The 18,114-nt window shown below is 34.0% G+C and overlaps 1 protein-coding gene across 5 annotated transcripts in view; it reads left to right on the top strand.

The window, feature by feature from the left end:
- Positions 1-18,114, top strand: part of GALNT13 (polypeptide N-acetylgalactosaminyltransferase 13) — a 1,388,282-nt gene that overhangs the window by 664,260 nt on the left and 705,908 nt on the right. For all 5 annotated transcript variants that reach the window (NM_001422882.1, NM_001422883.1, NM_001422881.1 and 2 more), the window contains one exon: positions 217-278. The gene's annotated coding sequence lies outside the window, so the exon portion shown is untranslated. The remainder of the gene's footprint in view (positions 1-216; positions 279-18,114) is intronic.

Here is an 18,114-nt window from a genome sequence, read left to right on the forward strand (position 1 = left end):
TAAAAATGTGTACAACGGCTGAATCAAGGTCAAGACCCTTGTAGGAAGGTAAAAATGTGTCTGTTATACTATGCATATAATTTCAAGTATAAACAGATGAGAACATATTCATGTAAGTTGAAGAATCTGCAAATGAGTATTAAAATATGTACAGAAACTATGATTGCTTATCCAAGTATTGTCTTATGAACTAACCCAACTCTGATTATTTTTTAGGTAACAAGTTGGAAGACTTTGGATCTCAAGAAAAGTGGATTTTGCCTCTACCGTAGAGATAGGTATGTGATCCAATACTAGCCAATAAAATATAAGGAAATATTTGTTAGTAGGAACTTATAGGATGTCTTGATTTGTAATAAAAATAGAAAGACAGAGAAGAACCGCTTACTCTCCTAGCTTTTCTTCCTGCCTTTGAAGGTAGTTGTGTTTCTTTTGAGTTGAAATAGCCATATTGCAAACATGAGGCAACATATCTAAGGATAAAAATTCAACATGTAAAAATGTCAGAGTGGAAGAGTAGAAAGAAGATCTTGATGAATCATTGAGAAGATAAGCTAATGTCAACTACTACTTACCTTCGTATTTCTTGTAATGCAAGGAAAAATAAACCCTTGTTTGTTTGTTTGAAAAACAAACCCATGTGCTTGTTATTATGGGTGAAAGTATTTCTACCAAACAAAACATTAGCACAGTTGGGCTATAGATAATCTCAGTTCTTCATTTATCATGTGTCCATCGACGTAGATTAGAAAATGGAAAAAATTAAGCTACTGAAGTTAGCCTGCCCTTCATGTGTTCTGAAAACTTCAAGATGGCAGGGTCTGTATTTGTTTATTCATATGCAGCTACTAACACAGTTCCTTAAAGCTTCAATAAATATATGTAGAATGATTTTCTTTGTGCCATAGTGAGAAAAATCAGTTGGATACAGCCCCTCTTTTTCCTAATTGTCTCTCCCAATACCCCCATGCACACATATTTGCACATTCATCCTGCCATGTTTCATGATGAACTCTCTATAAAAGGGCTATTTCCTGCAACCTTGCAATTCTGCCCTTTTTAGCAAAGACTTTTAGAATGAATGTTATTAGATCTTAAAGTGGCTTCCTCTCCGTGTAAGGCATTTAAAGCTGCTATTGGGCAAATGGTTATTGGCAGTAACGTGATGGTGGAAAGTGGAAGCCACTGCAGGCATGTAGTGGTAGTATTCATTTCACAGCAGGTGAGCATGTGGAGTAAGACTTAATCTAAGTCAAATAATTTTGAATAAAGCAACAGTATGAACTCACAGCCTTTAGTGGATTTTCCAGCAGACCGTCCTTTTAAAACATCTAAATCCCCTCTGCTATGCAACAGTGTTCTTTCAGATTGCTGAATTCGTCTTAGAGCCATCCCCTTTTTATTTCTTCAATGTCTACATTGTCTTTCTCAGGAAAGCAGTCAGGTTGCTTGATTGTCTTAGAAACATTGGTACAGTTCAGGACCGTGTTGGTGTTCTATTTCATTGGTGAAATCATCATGTCAGGTGACTGCCCTAAGGTCAGAAGCCATGTTCCATGCAACTCAATTAAGTTTTCTGGCTTCTGGTGGCCCCCGTGAACACTCAAAGGTGCTTGTTTTTCATGTTGCACTTTGAGGTCCTCTCTTCTGCACTGTAAGACATTGACCAGAAGAGGTTTTGCTTTTCAGTTTTCATGTGTTATAATGAATACATTTGTTTTGCCCTTTTCTCTCATGTGTGAACTCTTCCTGATAGTATTTACTAGGTAAATCATAGCTTGCAGTGGAAAAACAAAGAGGCAGTCACCTGAATTGTAATTGTTTTGACTTATTGACTTACCAAAACACAGATCTGATAAGTCTAATCTGAATTTAGTGTAGGCAAACAAGAATGGAGTGGAATCTGAAGAAACATAAACAAGGGATCAGGGATAAATTTGCATACAGAAGCAGCCTTCTTAAACTGCAGGCCCTCTAGTTATTCAGTGTTATGCATTTATATTAGATTGGTACAAACGTAATTGCAGGTTTGCCATTAAAATTAATAATAATATTTTCGATTGGCTGCAAAAGGGATGGATTCTGCCCTGTAAGTCAGAGCTACTTTTCCTTTTAGGAGAAGCAATGTGGCTTAAACCTGCATGGCACTGATTCCTCCCTAGACTGTGACTCTAGATGCAAGTGTATCCTGTGCTACTTTTGAAGTCAGAAATTATATTCTGATTACGCTGACATTTTTTGGCCTAATTCGTAGTTGAACATCTTGAGATGTAAGTTTTATTATTTTCCCATAATTGTTGGCATTCTGTTTTTAACTGGAAATACCAGCTTTTGCATTTTGGAGAGTAACCTCCTAGAGGGCCAAAATCAAAATGTAGAGCTGTCTTTTCTCTTGCACCTACCTGAGTACCTGACAACGTAGCCTTGAACCGTGACAACTCCTTCAACACCTGTAGCTTCCTGGCTGCCAGACAAAGTGAAAGAACCACTGCTTGATATTACCTAGGACAAAACATAAGTCACAGCTGCAGGGCTTCCACTCTGCAGTGTTCCATGCCTTGTTTGGAGCTGCATTTCTAAATTTTTATTTTCAGAGAGTTTAATTAATATACATGGGCATGCTCTACCTGATTTTATTTCTGAGAGCCGGTCTTGTTCAACTGAATTTTTAAAGTAAAAGAACTTTGAATTTTGTCTCTAGGGCTTACTATTTTGTTTTTTTAATGGTTTTAGTTTGTTGTTCAGCAGAGAGTATATACTTTTCCCCCCAAGATTTCATGCATCAAAGGCATTAAGTTGTCACTACATAGATTATAGTGAGTGACACACAAAATAAGCTGCCTTTTTAAGGGGTTGCAATGAAAAATAGGTAAAGTTGATATTACTGAAAAAAATTGTAAATATTCTTTTTAGCATGTTATGATGATACTGCTAGGCCATCTTGATATGGACAGGCACAATGAATTTGCTTTTGTAATAACTATGGTAAGATGACCACCATAATTCCACAGATCTTGCTCAGGCTTCCCCAGTTGTCCTAACAAGGGTCTTTATAGGTAACAGATCCAATCCTGGATCATGTGCCACATTCCGTTGTCATATTTGTTGAGGCTCCTTCAATCTAGAAGGTATTCCCAGTCCTCATTGACATTTAAGATCCCATTGTTTCACAGAGCAATAATTTTGCAGAATATCCCTCAACCTGGTTTGTCTGCTTTCCAGGATTAGATTTGGGCCATTTATTTTGGACAGGAATGTCACAGAAGTGATGCTGTGTTCATTCCGTTGCTTTCTACCAGGTAGTGCATGATTTAAATTTGTCCCATTACTGGTGATGTTAACTCTGATCACTGATCACTTGATTTAAGTTGGTAGTTACCAAGTTTATCGTCTGTAAGATTATTCTTTCCCTCTTTGGAATAAATGTTTTGTGAAAGGGTACTTTGAAACTATGTAAACATTCCATGCCTTATCAAACTTTCATCTACTAATTCCAGCATCAGATAATGTTTTTTAGTCGAAACAACAATCACCATGACAGTTGCCAAATGATGATGATTCTTCATTTCCCTCATCATTTCTTCTACATTTCTTCAGTTGGCACTCCATCCATCATAGATAAAAGCTTTGCTTCCTCTGCATTTATTTATTAACACATTCATTTAAATCAGCCTGCACTCATGGATTCTCACTCTACTCCATGGATTTTAGTCTGTTGCTACTGTTATTTTGATGTCCAAATTATCTCATATTTTGGCCAATGGGAGCCCTTCAGGATAGCTCCTGTGTCCTTTTGACATGCTGCTTCAATCTTTAAGATGTTGCAAGTTCACCTGTGGTTTCCCTACTTCCCCAATGTAATCAAGTATTTCTTCCTCTCAAGAACATTGGTTCCTTTTAATAGTGAATTCTGTTTCAGAACAAAGATCTGGGCACTAGATGTGTTTATTGTTATTGGTATATTGCAGTTCCTTGTGCCCTGTCAATGCACCAAACTTAAGAACATGTATATGTTCATGTATATTAGCACCCAAACATCCACATTTTCGTACGTATTTCTCTATATCATTCTCTATCTATCTATCTATCATTTATCCATCTATTTCTCTATCATCTATTGTTAAAACTTTAGGTTCACACTGACACATCCAAGTTGAACCTAACACTAGAGGGTTCATTTTACATTTTACCTTCCCAGGTATTCTTGTTTCTTCCTTCCTTCTTTGACATTATCTTCAGTCTATTTTCATTTTCTTCAGTCTCCCTGCATACAACCTAGCTCCTGTGACTGGCTGCCACCACCACCCACCCCTGCCAAATGGATGCCCTCCTCATGTGGCCACCCACTCCGAGTGCAGTTTCTCTTTTCCATCAACCTCTGACATTCTATGCAGAATTGCTTCTGCCTTTCCCACTGCCACCATCACTCTTCTGGGAGGGCAGTCCTCTGCAAGCCCACTTGGGATCCAATATTCTATGTTGTTCTATCATCGGGCTGGCACACATATCCACTTCATCCTGTTTATGTTCCAGCAGTCCACACTGGGCCATGCTGGGCCTTTCAAGCATGCGTGCCTGGTGGCTTATGAACCTAATTATTCAGGGAGGAAGAAAGGAGCACAGACAGGCAGAAAGGGAGAAAGGGTAATAGGAAGAAAGAGAATTTTAAATGATCAGGAAAGTCAGAACCTAAGAGGTCCTTATGAAAGTGTTATTATATTTTTTAATGGTTCGATTTTGAGGGTTTTTTACTCTTGTTTTCTCTACTCTTATTACCTTTGTTCAAATATGCTGTTTTTCAGCCTGTCTTGTATATATTTATTGGAATTGTGGTTTTTTTTCAATGTTTTTTATTTTGGTGGCCTCGTGTATTATCAATTTTTGGACATTCCTTATGTTATTTTTAAAATAAAGCACATTTTTTATTTTCATTGTGTAACATATATAAATATCTCCTAGGTTGCATACATTCATTATAATATCCAGATTTTCTTCTTCCTTACTTATGTTTATCTACCCTATTTTTAAAAACTTAGGAAATGTATCAAAGTCTTCCTTACATAACAATTCTATTTCGATATCTCCTTCATCGTCTCGTAGTTTTGTTTCATATATCATGAAAAGATATTATTTAGCACATAAAGTTCCAAGAGAGTTTAGCATAGTGTTTAAGAGCAGAAAACAGGACTCAGACTTACCTATTGTGTTACTTAAACTACAGTTTCCTCACCTGTAAAATAATTATAATTACCTCATGGGTTTTTTATTTGTATCCAATTGCTGTAAAGTTCCTAGAATAATGTCCAAGTTCTAATATAGGCTACTTAAGTTCTATTATAGAAATAAATGTAAGTGATATGTTTATGGGAATTATATATTTAACAAATATACCAAACCATGTTAATCATTTGCTGGTCTACTTAATATAGTCTATCTTGTGTTTAACTATATCTAATGTTAACCTTTCTATCTCTCTTGCTCTGTTTTGTTTTGCTCTTGGTTTTCATTTTTCCAGTATTTCTGCAAATATTTTTATTTTTCTGAATCTTTTTTTCTCTTACTTAGAACATTATGTGAGTTTGTTTATTAATCATATTAAACTCCTTGCTTTTAATACATGAATTGAATATACCTGTGCTTATTTTTATAACAAAATTTGAACTATTTTCATTGTAATTTACAGTTTCTGTTTTTATTCTTACTAGCTCTTTCTTTCTATTTCAACCTTTTACTACATTTTCCATGTTTTATTGAAAGTAGCTCCGTGCTCCCCATGTCCCAACATGGAAATTTGAAAGTTGTATAGTTCACTTCTGTTAATCTCATGATTACTTTTAAAGCCTTACATATTTGGGTGTAAACTTACACTTTTTATTTAGCAACTTCTGAAATGTTGCCTCCCTTACGAACTATTTAAAAACTTAATTTGTATTTCTTCCTACTTTCTCTGTCTGTGCCACCTCTGATTTCTTCACAATAGACAATGAGCTTTTTGTTTCACTCTCTTAGTATTGCTCTTTTATTTACATTGGTTTATGCTTTTCAAAAATTGTAGTATGTATATGTTATTTTACAATTAAAATGTAAAAAATATGATATCTACACAACTTCCTTCTTTCTGTGGTTGAATTATGTCTTTGAGTTGATTTTTTAGGACAAACACATATGCAATAGAGTTTTTGGACTCTTTAATATTTGAGCATTTGTATCTACTTCCTATACATGTTATAATAAATTTATCTTAGTATACAATCCTGGAGTCACCCACTACCCTCAAAACATTATAGAAATTGTTCCATTGTCTTCTTTTTCCTTCAGTTTTTTTATTATAAAAATGTCCATATGTAGAGCCAAGTCAAAAGAATTTTACAATGAACACCCCAAAACTAACCACTTAGCTTCTACCATTAGCACTTTACCATCTGTGCGTGATCACACATGCATCCATCTATACATCTGTGTATCTATTCATTCATCCATTTTATTTTGGGATGCTTTTGAAATAAATTGAATGTAATAGTACATTTCTCCCTCCAAATACTTCACATTTATATAACTAACTGGACTCTAATGTGTTTATAACTTTTAAATCAATAAATTACATTCAATGAAATGTATAAATCTTAAATCCATATTTGCAACATTTTGGCAAATGGATTTATCTGTGTAACCCGACCTCCTCTATAGAGACAGATTACTATTACCATCACAAAGAGTTCCCTAATACCTCTCCCAAGTAAATTCACATCCTAGTTCCCTAAGTTAATAATTAACAACTGCTTTTTTTGTATCAATATATATTAATTCTGTATTTTTAGATTCCGTAAAAAATGGAATTATATACTCTGTATTCTTGTGTGCAAGGTTTTCTTCATTTTCCATACTTTGAAGATGCAGCTAGTTATGAGTATTACTATATGCTTTCATCTTTGGTCTTCTTGAATTAGATTTTTGTTTTATTTATTTATTTATTTATTATTTTTTAATGTATTTATTTTTATTTATTTATTATTTTATTTATTTATTCATTATTTTATTTATTTATTTATTTATTAAAAATGAGATTTTATTTATTATTTTATTTTATTTTATTTTTATTATTTAATCTTTAAATAATGTATGTTACATTAATTGATTTATCAATGTTATCACATAAACTTACTTTGGATACATTTTACTTGATCATGTATCCATGTATGTTGCTCATTTTGATTTCTTAATATTTGGCTAAAAATTTTTACAACTATTGTCATGAGGTATATTGGTGTATAATTCTCTTGTGGATAATATATCAGGTTTTGGTTATAGGTTTAGGCTAGATTCTATCTTCTAATGCAGTTTGAGTTATGTCATTTTTCCTTTATTAAATATTTAATAGAACTCACCAATGAGAATATTTGTACTTGGAGTTTTATTTGTGGAAATGTTTTTTCTTCATAAAAATTCTATTTCTTCAATAGGATATAGAAGTATTCAAATTTTCTGTGTGATCTTGTGTCAGTTCTGGTATTTTGCAAATAAATGTTGTCTATTTAAGTTCTAATAATTATTTGCTTAGAGTTCTTCAAGCTTTCTGAATCTTTAAATTTGTCTTTTGCTATACTTGTGAAATTATCTTCAAATATATTTTCAACCTGGTTACTTCTCTTCTACTGGGACTCTGATTACATCTACACTATGTGGTTTGATATTGATGACACAAGTCCCTGAGGCACTGTTCACTCTTTATAAATTTTGTTTCTGTTTTATTCATATTGGATCAATATTCAAGGTCACTGATTGTTTTCTCTTCTACTGTATTCTGGTATTAAACCTATCCAGTGAATTTTAAATTTTAGATATTATATTTTAAGCTGTAGAATTTTTATTACATATTTCTACTCATAACTTGAAAATTCTTACTTTTTCATTAATTGCAAGCATATTTCCTATTACTAAATGGCTGCTTTAAAGTTTTTGTGTGCCAATTCCAACATCTAGTTCATTTTGGCATTCGTCTTTTCTCTCTAGTCTTATTAAATTTTTCTGTACCATTATATGTATAATTTTGGATTGTATCCTGCGCCTTATGAATGTTTTGTTTGTCTGTTTCCTTTTTTTGTGGAGACTTATGTCTGGTAATGTTCCTTCGGAGTTTTCAGTGGTTTTAAAAGGCAATTAACTTCATTTAACTCAAATTGCAAACACTGATTTTTGGGTGACAGCTCAAAAGTTGAGTGACAGTTGGGCTAGTTTGTGAATGCTTTGCATATATGCTTTGTTCATTTTCCGTCAGGTACTTGAGCAGAGTTTATGCATATCATTTGGGGCAGCCCCCTTTTAGCTCTCTCCTTTGCAATATTCCTCTTTTACTTTCCGGCTCTCCTCTTAGATAAACTGAATTTTCTACCAGTGTTTTAGCCTTTCTGTGCAGTGTCTGCACTTAAGCTAAAAGTTATAAAAGAGGGAGTGTTAGCCACACTAGAAGCAAAAGTCCTACTCCATTGTTTTCTGTCATTTAATGTTGATTAATAAATGAATGCAAGTATCCTTCTTATTTCTCCAGCTTCTTCTATCCATATTTCCTAAGATTCTTTCTTTGATTTTTAAATTTGGTAAATTCAACAATGTAAGTCTCACTATCGTATTTTTTTTTCTGGATTACTGTGAACTATTTCAATCTATTTATTTATAAATACTATCTGTATTTTCTATCCAATGTACTTTTCTATTTCATTATTTCAATTTTCTTCTTCAGTCATATCAACTATCCATGTATTAATATGCTTTGCCTTTCCATTCTATCAGCTCTTCTCTAAATCTTTCATATCTGTCTTTTCCTCTGCTCTTTAAGATATTTTTCTTCAATCGCTCTTATTAAAATTATACTCTGATTCTCAGAGTTTTTAAATCTATCTTTGACACAATGGTTTTGCATATAGTCTATGTTTATTTTCTTCATTTCTTGGTATTTCTTGATTCCTAATTACCAGGGAATATGAGAAGTACTTAATACATCTCAGTTGCTGAGTGAAGAATCTAGTATATATTAAATTAATGTTTCCCACATTTTATAGTATAGAGGCTAGAACCAATGCCTGATTTCAATGTTGCTACTGTATACCACTTGTATTTTTATTTGTTTCTATTTCAAGCTGATTTGTAGAGGTAAATTGTAAATCTGTGCATATATCACCATTTTCCCTAGAAATGTGACTTTTATATTTTTCTATACAACATCCTAATCTGAATAGATAACAATTTGGTGAGTATTCAAACTTCATCTCTTTTAAAAAATTAATTTATCTATTTTATTATAAATTGACAGATCATAGTTGTATAGATTTCAAGGGTACAAAGTGATGTTATGATTTATAAATGTAATCTGGAATAATTAAGTCAAGCTAATTAATATAGCCATCATTTCAAATGCTTATCATTGTTGTAATTAGAACATTTGAAATTTGTTCTCAATGATTTTGAAATGTACAAGATGTGATTATTAACTATATTCACCATACTGTGCAATGGATTTTAAAAAAAATTGTTATTCCTCTCCTTTGATGCTTTGTACCTTTGAACCACCATCTCCCCATTAACCCCAATCCCCAGCCTCTGTAAATCACCATTCTACTTTCTGCTTTTTTGATGTATTTGATTGTTCTAGAGTCTACATGTGAGTGAGAACATGCACTATTTGTCTTTCTGTGACTGGCTTCTTTTACCTTCATATAATGTCCTCCAGGTTTATCCATGTTGCTGCAAATAACAATAAATTCGTAAATTTTTTTTTATTTTTTAAGGCTGAATAATACTTCATTGTGTATATATATACCACATTTTCTTTTTAGAAACCTTCTTTTAATGAAAGCAAATTTTTCTTTCTCAAAATTAGTTTAGATTTAGGGGGTACATATGCAGGCTTGTTACATGTATACAATGCATATACATAGAATGGTTTTGCAGTATGGTTTGGGCTTCTAGTGGACCCACCCCCAATAGTAAACATTGTACCCAATAGTGATTTTTAAACCCTGACTCCCCTCCTATGCTTCCCCTTTTTCAGTTCCCCAGTGTCCATTATTTCCATCTTTATGTCCACATGTAATTTAGCTCCCACTTATGTGAGAATGTGTGGTATTTGATTATCTGATTTTGAGTGATTTCACTTAGGATAATGGCTCCAGCTCCTCCCATGTTGCTACAAAGGGTGTGATCTCATTCTCTTTTTATGGCTGCATAGTATTTCATGGTACATATATACCACATTTTCTCAACCAGTCAACTGTTGATGAACACTTACATTGATTTCATGACTTTGCTGTTGTGAACAGTGCTTTGAGAAACATACTAGTGCAGTTGTTATTTTACACAATGATTTCTTTTCCAAGGGAAGGGAAGGAAAGGGGAGGGGAGGTGAGAGGAGCGGAGGGGAGGGGCAAGGGGAGGAGAAGTGGGGGGGGAGAGAGGGGAGAAGAGAGGAGGGGAGAAGGTGGGGGAGGGGAGGGGAAATGAGGGGGAGGGGAAAGGAGAGGGAGGATAAAGTAGGGGGAGGGGAAAAGAGGGGAGGGGGAGGGGTAGTGTGGTGGGTTTGCTGGGTGGAATGGTAGTTATATTTTTAGTTTTTTGAGAAATCTTCATATTCTTTTCCATAGAGGTTGTGTTAATTAAAATTCTCACCAACTGTATGAGAATTTGCATAGAATTTACAGGCGTTTCCTTTTCTTCACATCCATGGCAACACATTTTCTTTATCCATTCATTGTTGGATAGACACAAGGTTGATTTGATAACTTGGTTGTTGTGAATAGTACTGCAATGAACGTGGAAGTGCAGACATCTCTTTGGCATACTGATTTCATGTCTTTTGGGTAAATACTCAGGAGTGGGATTCCTGAATCATATAATTCTATTTAGTTTTTTTTAATTTCAATTTTAATTTTTTTTGAACCTACTTTATTTCAAGAGCACTTTTCTTTGAAGCTTTTTGTTTATTTATCTATTTTTATTTTTGTGGGTATATTATAGAGGCATATATTTATGAGGCACATAAGATGTTTTGATACAGGCATGCAAAGAATAATAATCACATAGTAGAAAAGGGTTACCCATCTCTTCAAATATTGACCCTCTGTGTTTCAAAATATTCAATTAAATTATTTTAGTTATTCTAAAATGTACAATTAAGTTATTATTGACTAGAGTCACCCTGTTTTGCAATCAAATAGTAAATCTTAGTCATTCTTTCTATTTTTTGTACCCATTAACCTTCCCCACTTCCCACCTCTACAACACTCCATGACTCTTTCCAGCCATCTTTCTTTCTACTCTCTTTCTCCATAAGTTCAATTCCTTTGGTTTTTAGATCCCACAAATAAGTGAGAATAGGCCTGTTCGTCTTCCTGTGCCTGGCTTATTTCACTTAGCATCATGACCTCCAGTTCCATCCATGTTGCTGTGAATGACAGGATTGTATTCATTTTTATGGCTGAAGAGTACTCCAATCCATTATGTATATGTACAATTTTTTTAATCCATCCACCTGTTGATGGACACTTAGGTTGCTTCCATAACTTGGTTATTTTGAATAGTGTTGCAATAAACATGGGAGTATAGCCATCTATTCAATATACTGATTTTCTTTCTTTTGGGTATATGCCCAGCAGTGAGATTGCTGGATCATATGGTAACTCAATTTTTAGTTTTTTTGAGAAACCTCCAAACTGCTCTCTATAGTGGTTGTACTAATTTACCTTCCTACCAACAATGTGCAAGGGTTCCCTTTTCTCCACTCCTCACCAGCATTTGGTATTGTCTGTCTTTTGGATAAAAACCATTTTAAATGGGGTGAGACGATATCTCATTATAGTTTTGATTTGTGTTTCTCTGATTATCAGTGATGTTCAGCACCTTTTCATATGCGTATGTCCCATTTGTATGTCTTCTTTTGAAAAGTATATATTCAGATATTTTGCCTATTTTTAATCAAATTATTAGATTTACACCTACAGAGTTGTATCTTTTCTCAGCTTTTCCTCTCTCTTAGCTCCGTCTCAATGTCCAAGTGGGCAAGATTTGGTAAACATTGTCAAGGATGGGAAATTCCAGGTTGTTTCTCATCTTGTAGCATCCTGAGCATGACCGAGACCAAAAAAGATACATTCTTTTTAAAATTTCTGCCTTCTTCTCACTAGAGTTGTCATATGGGCCAGATTGAGATGGTTGGGACACAGAGATGGAACAGATCCACTGGAGTTTGAATGCTTTTTGGAAATTGGCAGTATGAGGAATTCTGGATAGACAGATGCATAACAAATGTCAGACTGAGAGTATCTTCCCAGGTGAGGTGAGGTGGTTGGAAAGCCATTAGCATTGGTGGAAGTCCAGGTAGGGACACGAAGGCCTGGTGAGGAGTGAGTGACAAGTGAGTACCCTGGTTTGCAGGCAGAGCATGGTTTCAGAAAATCTTAGGATGAACAACAGACCATTGTTCAGAGAAACATAGGCTATCAGCACCAAGCAAATATAGTGAGAATTGATAGACTGAGGTCCATTAGAAAAACAGGAAAGGAACACAGATTTTTGTCCAGACAGTGCTTGGAAGTGAAAGAGGACACCAAACAGAATACTCTTGGAGAGATCACTCAAAACAGAAACCCAGTAATGAGAATTGGGTGGTTAGACAAAAACTGATTAACAATGAAGAAGCGAGAGCTGGTTATAAAAACAGGTTATGTACAAAAAAGAGCTGGTTATTTAAAAAATAACAGTAGTTTATAGAAATCGAGTCCTACAGGACTTACGAAACTACTTAATTCTTTGATAGAACTTTTTAAAAAGTTTCCTTAGCTATTTGATTCCAGAATCTGTGGTAGGGCTGAGCATGTACATTAAGCTTAGTTAGCATTTGGTTTGGGCACCTGATGAATGCAGAGAAATGTGTTAGCTTCCTGAGGTTCCTTTTGAGGTTTTTTCCTCTCATTCTCGGCAGGTAATTTTTATTATTTCTGCAATTTCCATTTCTAAATTCAATGAAAGAAATTCTCAAATGATTGATTGAGCCTGAAATTCTAGTTTTGGATTTATTCTTATTAAGCAAAAGTTTATTTAACATTAAACTTCAAATATTAAGCATAGGTTAACATAGGCCAAAATATCATAATTCGTTTGTTTGAAGCTCCTATTTTTGGTTTGTTGTTTGTTTTTTGAAACATGGTCACACTCTGTCACCTGGACTGGAGTGCAGTGAGGCAAACATGGCTCACTGCAGCCTGGACTTCCTGGATAATCAAGCGATTGTCCCACCTCAGCCTCTCAAAGTGCTGGGATTACAGGCTGGAGCCTCCATGCTTTGCCTGAAGCTGCTGTTCTGTATATTGCAGTTTAAATATTTCACCAGAGTTGTGATTAACATCAGAAAACCTGAAACTGCTACTTATGATACCTGGCCATAATATGGTACTGGTTTCCCAGAATGCAATAGAAAGTACGTTTTTAAAGATGTATATACCACCCTTACAATAGTGATACGCTATGCTTCAATGAATAAAAGTAAAATTTCTTAATACACTCATTTTATAAATGACATTTTCTGCTCATTGAATTGTGATATACATGCATAGCAGTACAAATATCACAAGTGTACAGCTCAACAAATTTCCAAAACCTGAACACACCTACATAGCCAGAGCTCAAATTATTTTTTAAAAACAAAAATACCAAATAATACCAGCCCCTAGTAAGTATATACCTCCCAAAAGTTACCACTATCCTAATTTGTGGTATCATGGATTAGTTAGCTAATGGATTGGTTTTGTTGTGAAACATTAATGGTTTTGTTGTGATATATATATGTAGCTATGTATGCAATTATTGAATCATATAGTGTGTCTAAATATTTCTCCCAATATTGTTTTAAAATTCACCTGTAATGTTAAAGAGATTTATAGTTCATTTAATCTTGTTGTGTAATATTTTATTTGGCATATATGCCACAGTTCATTTACACTAATGAACATCTGGGTGGTTTCTGATTCAGCACTATTATGAATAGTGCTGCTATGAACATTTTAGTACATGTCTTTTGGAGAACTCGTGTATTTCTGGTGGGTGCAGTGGAATTTCTGGGCCGTAGGTTATACTTATGTTAAATTTTAGTGGAAGCTGCCAAATAGGCAGGGCTTGAGAGTTTAAGTTATTCTGTATCCTTGCCAATAATTATTACTTTCCATTATTACAATTTTAGCCATTCCAGAGCCTGAGTACTCATGTTATTTGGGGTTTCAACTTTCATTTCTCTAATGGCTGATGAAGCTGAACAACTTTCAGTATGTTTATTAAATATTTGGATATAATTTCTGTAAAAAATATTTGCTCAAGGCTTTTGTTCATTTTTGTGTTTGGTTGCCTATTGTTTTTTAAAATTGATTTTAAGTCTTTTATGTAATTCGATATGAGTCCTTTGTTGATTATTTATGGCACGAATGTCTTCTCCAACTCTCTGGGTTGCCTTTTAATGTTTTTGTAATTTTTTAAATTTTTAATCTTCGTGGGTTCATAGTAGGTATATATATTTATGGGATACATGAGATGTTTTGATACAAGCATGAAATGTGAAATAATCACGTCATGGAGAATGGGATATCCATCTGCTCAAGACTTTATCCTTTGTATTACAAGCTATCCAATTACATTCCTATAATGATTTTAAAATGTACGATTATCATTGACTATAGTCACCCTGTTTTACTATCAAATAGTAGGTCATATTCATTCCTTTTATTTTTTGTACCCATTAACTTTCCCCACATCCCACCCCCTGAAACCCTCACTACCCTTCCCAGCCTCTGGTAATCATTTTTCTATTCTCAAATCTCCAAAAGTGCCTTTGGTTTTTTTTTTTTTTTTTTTTTTTTTTAGATAGATTCTCACTCTCGCCCAGGCTGGAGTGCAGTGGAGCAATCTTGGGTCGCTGCAATCTCCGCCTTCTGGGTTCAAGCAATTCTTCTGCCTCAGACTCACTGGAAGCTGGGATTACGGGTGCACGCCACCATGCCCAGCTAATTTTTGTATTTTTAGTAGAGACAGGGTTTCAGTATGTTGGCCAGGCTGATCTTGAACTCCTGACCTCAGGTGATTTTCTGCCTTGGCCTCCCAAAGTGCTGGGATTACAGACGTGAGCCACTGCACCTGACCCAATTGTTTTGGTTATTAGATCCCACAAATAAGTGAGAACATGGCATGTTTGTCTTTCTGTGCCTGGCTTATCTCACTTAACATAATGGTCACCAGTTCCATTTATGTTGTTGCAAATGACAGGATCTCACTCTTTTTGTGGCTGAATAGTATTCCATTTTATATATGTACCATTGTGTCTATGTATCTGTTGTTAGACACTTAGATTGCTTCCAAATCCCAGCTCATGTAAATAGTGCTGCAATAAACATGGGAATGCAGATATCTTTTTGATATACTGAATTCCTTTCTTTTGGGTATATGCATTGTAAGTATATATAAAATATTAGTTTGGTGCAAAAGTAATTGTAGTTTTTGCCATTAAAAGTAATGGCAATTTAATCTTGTGCAATATTTCATTTGGTATATATTCCACAGTTCATTTATCCTAAGGAACATCTGGGTGGTTTCTGATTCAACACTATTATGAATTTGGAGATTCCTCAAAGAAATAGTTTTAGTTCTTTAGAACTTGTGTGAGCAACTTTCAATATGTTTATTAAATATATTCAAAAGTTGTTCATACCCAGCAGTGGGATTGCTGGATTATATAGTAGATATAGTTTTAGTTTTTTTAGGAATCTCCAAATTGTTTTCCATAGTAGATGTAATAATTTATATTCTCACTGAAAGTGTACAAGAGTTCCCTTTTCTCCACATCCTCACCAACATTTGTTATTGTCTGTCTTTTGGACAAGTCATTTTAACTGAGGTGAGATGATATCTCATTATAGTTTTGATTTGCATTTCTCTGATAATCAATGATGAGTACCTTTTCATATGCCAGTATGATATTTTTATGTCTTCTTTTGAGAAATGTCTATTCAAATGTTTTGCCAATTTTGTATTGGATTATTAGATTTTTTTCTATAGAGTTGTTTGAGCTCCTTATATATTCTGGTTGTTAATCCCTTGTCAGATGACTAGTTTGCAAATATTTTCTCCCATTTTGTGAGTTGTCTCTTCACTTTGTTGAGTGTATCCTTTGCTGTGCAGAGCTTTTTAACTTGATATGATCCCATTTGTCCATTTATGCTTTGGTTGCCTATGCTCATGAGGCACTATTCAAGAAACTTTTTCCACCCTTATTATAATGATACCTGGAAAAAAAAAGAAAGAAAGAAAGAAAAGTTTGCCAAGACCAATGTCCTGGATTTTCTCCCCAGGGTTTTCTTGTAGTAGTTTCATCATTTGAAGTCTTAGACTTAAGGCTGTAATTCATTTTGATTTGATTTTTGTATATAGTGAGGGGGAGGGTTCTAGTTTCATTCTTCTACATATGAATATCCAGTTTTTATAGCATTATTTATTGAAGAGACTGACTTTTCCCTAGTTTATGTTCTTGACACCTTGGTCAAAAATGAGTTGACTGTAGGGTGTATGGATTTTTTTCTGAGTTGTTTATTATGTTCCATTGGTCTATGTGTCTGTTTTCATGACAGTGCCATACTGTGTTGATGACTATAACTCTGTAGCATAATCTGACTTCAGGTAATATAATTCCTCCAGTTTTGTTCTTTTTGCTCAGCATTGATTGCTTTTACTCAGATTATTCTGAGTCTTTCATGGGTTCAAATAAATTTTGGCATTGCTTTTTCTACTTTGAAGAATGTCCTTGATATTTTGATAGAGATTGTATTGAATTTGTTGATTGCTTTGCGTAGTATGGACATTTTAACAATATTCATTCTTCCAATCTATGAACATGGAATACATTTTCATTTTTTGCTATCCTCTTCAATTTCTTTCTTCAGTGTTTCATACTTTGCATTATAGAGATTTTTCACTTCTTTGGTTAAGTTCATTGCTAGGTATTTAACTTTATATGTGGCTATTGTAAATGGGATTCCTTTTTTATTTCTTTTTCAGATTGTTCACTGTTGGCATATAGAAATGCTACTTATTTTTGTATGTTGATTTTGCATCTGGCAACTTTGGCGAGTTTTTCAATTCTAATGCTTTTTTGTGGCATCTTTAGATTTTTTCAAATATAAGATCATATCATCTGCAAATAAGGATAATTTGACTTTGTCCATTGCAGTTTGGATGCCCTTTATTTCTTTTATCTGATTGCTTTAGCTAGGACAACCAATACTATATTGAATAAGAATGGTGAAAATGTGCATTCTTGTCATGTCCCAGATCTTAGAGGAAAGACTTTCAGTTTTTCCCCATTTAGTATGATACTAGCTGTGGGCCTGTCATATATTGCTTTTATGTTGAGGTATGTTCCTTCTATCTTCAGTTTTTTATTTAGGGTATTTTATCATGAAAGGAAGTTGAATTTTATCAAATTCCTTTAATCATCAATGAAAGGATCATATGATTTTTATCCTTCATTCACTTGATACAATGTATCACACTGATTAATTTGAGTATCTTGAGTCATCTTTGCATTACAGAAATAATCCCCCTTGTTCATGATGAATGATCTTTCTAATGTATTGATGAATTGGTTTGCTAGTGTTTTCTTGAGGACTTTTGCATCAATATTCACCAGAGATATTGGCCCATAGTTTTCTTTTTTTAATGTGTGTTTGTCTGGTTTTGGTATCACGGTAATACTGGCCTCATAGAATGAGTTTGAAAATGTTCTGTCCTCCTCTATATTTTGGAATAGTTTAAGTAGGATTTGTATTAGTTTTTCTTTAAACGTTTCATAGAATTCAGCATTGAAACTAAGTCCTGGGATTTTGTTTACTGGGAGAATTTTTATTACGTTTTGATATTGTTACTTGTTATTGGTGTGTTCACCTTTTGGATTTTTTTTTATGGTTCAGTCTTTGTACGTTGTATGTGTCTAGGAATTTTACCATTTCTTCTAGATTTTTCACTTTGTGGACTTACGTTGCTCATAGAGGCCACAAATAATCCTTTGAATTTCTGGGATAGCAGTTGTAA

This window comes from Homo sapiens, chromosome 2 (assembly GCF_000001405.40).
Source record: "Homo sapiens chromosome 2, GRCh38.p14 Primary Assembly".
In the NCBI taxonomy this organism is placed as follows: domain Eukaryota; kingdom Metazoa; phylum Chordata; class Mammalia; order Primates; family Hominidae; genus Homo; species Homo sapiens.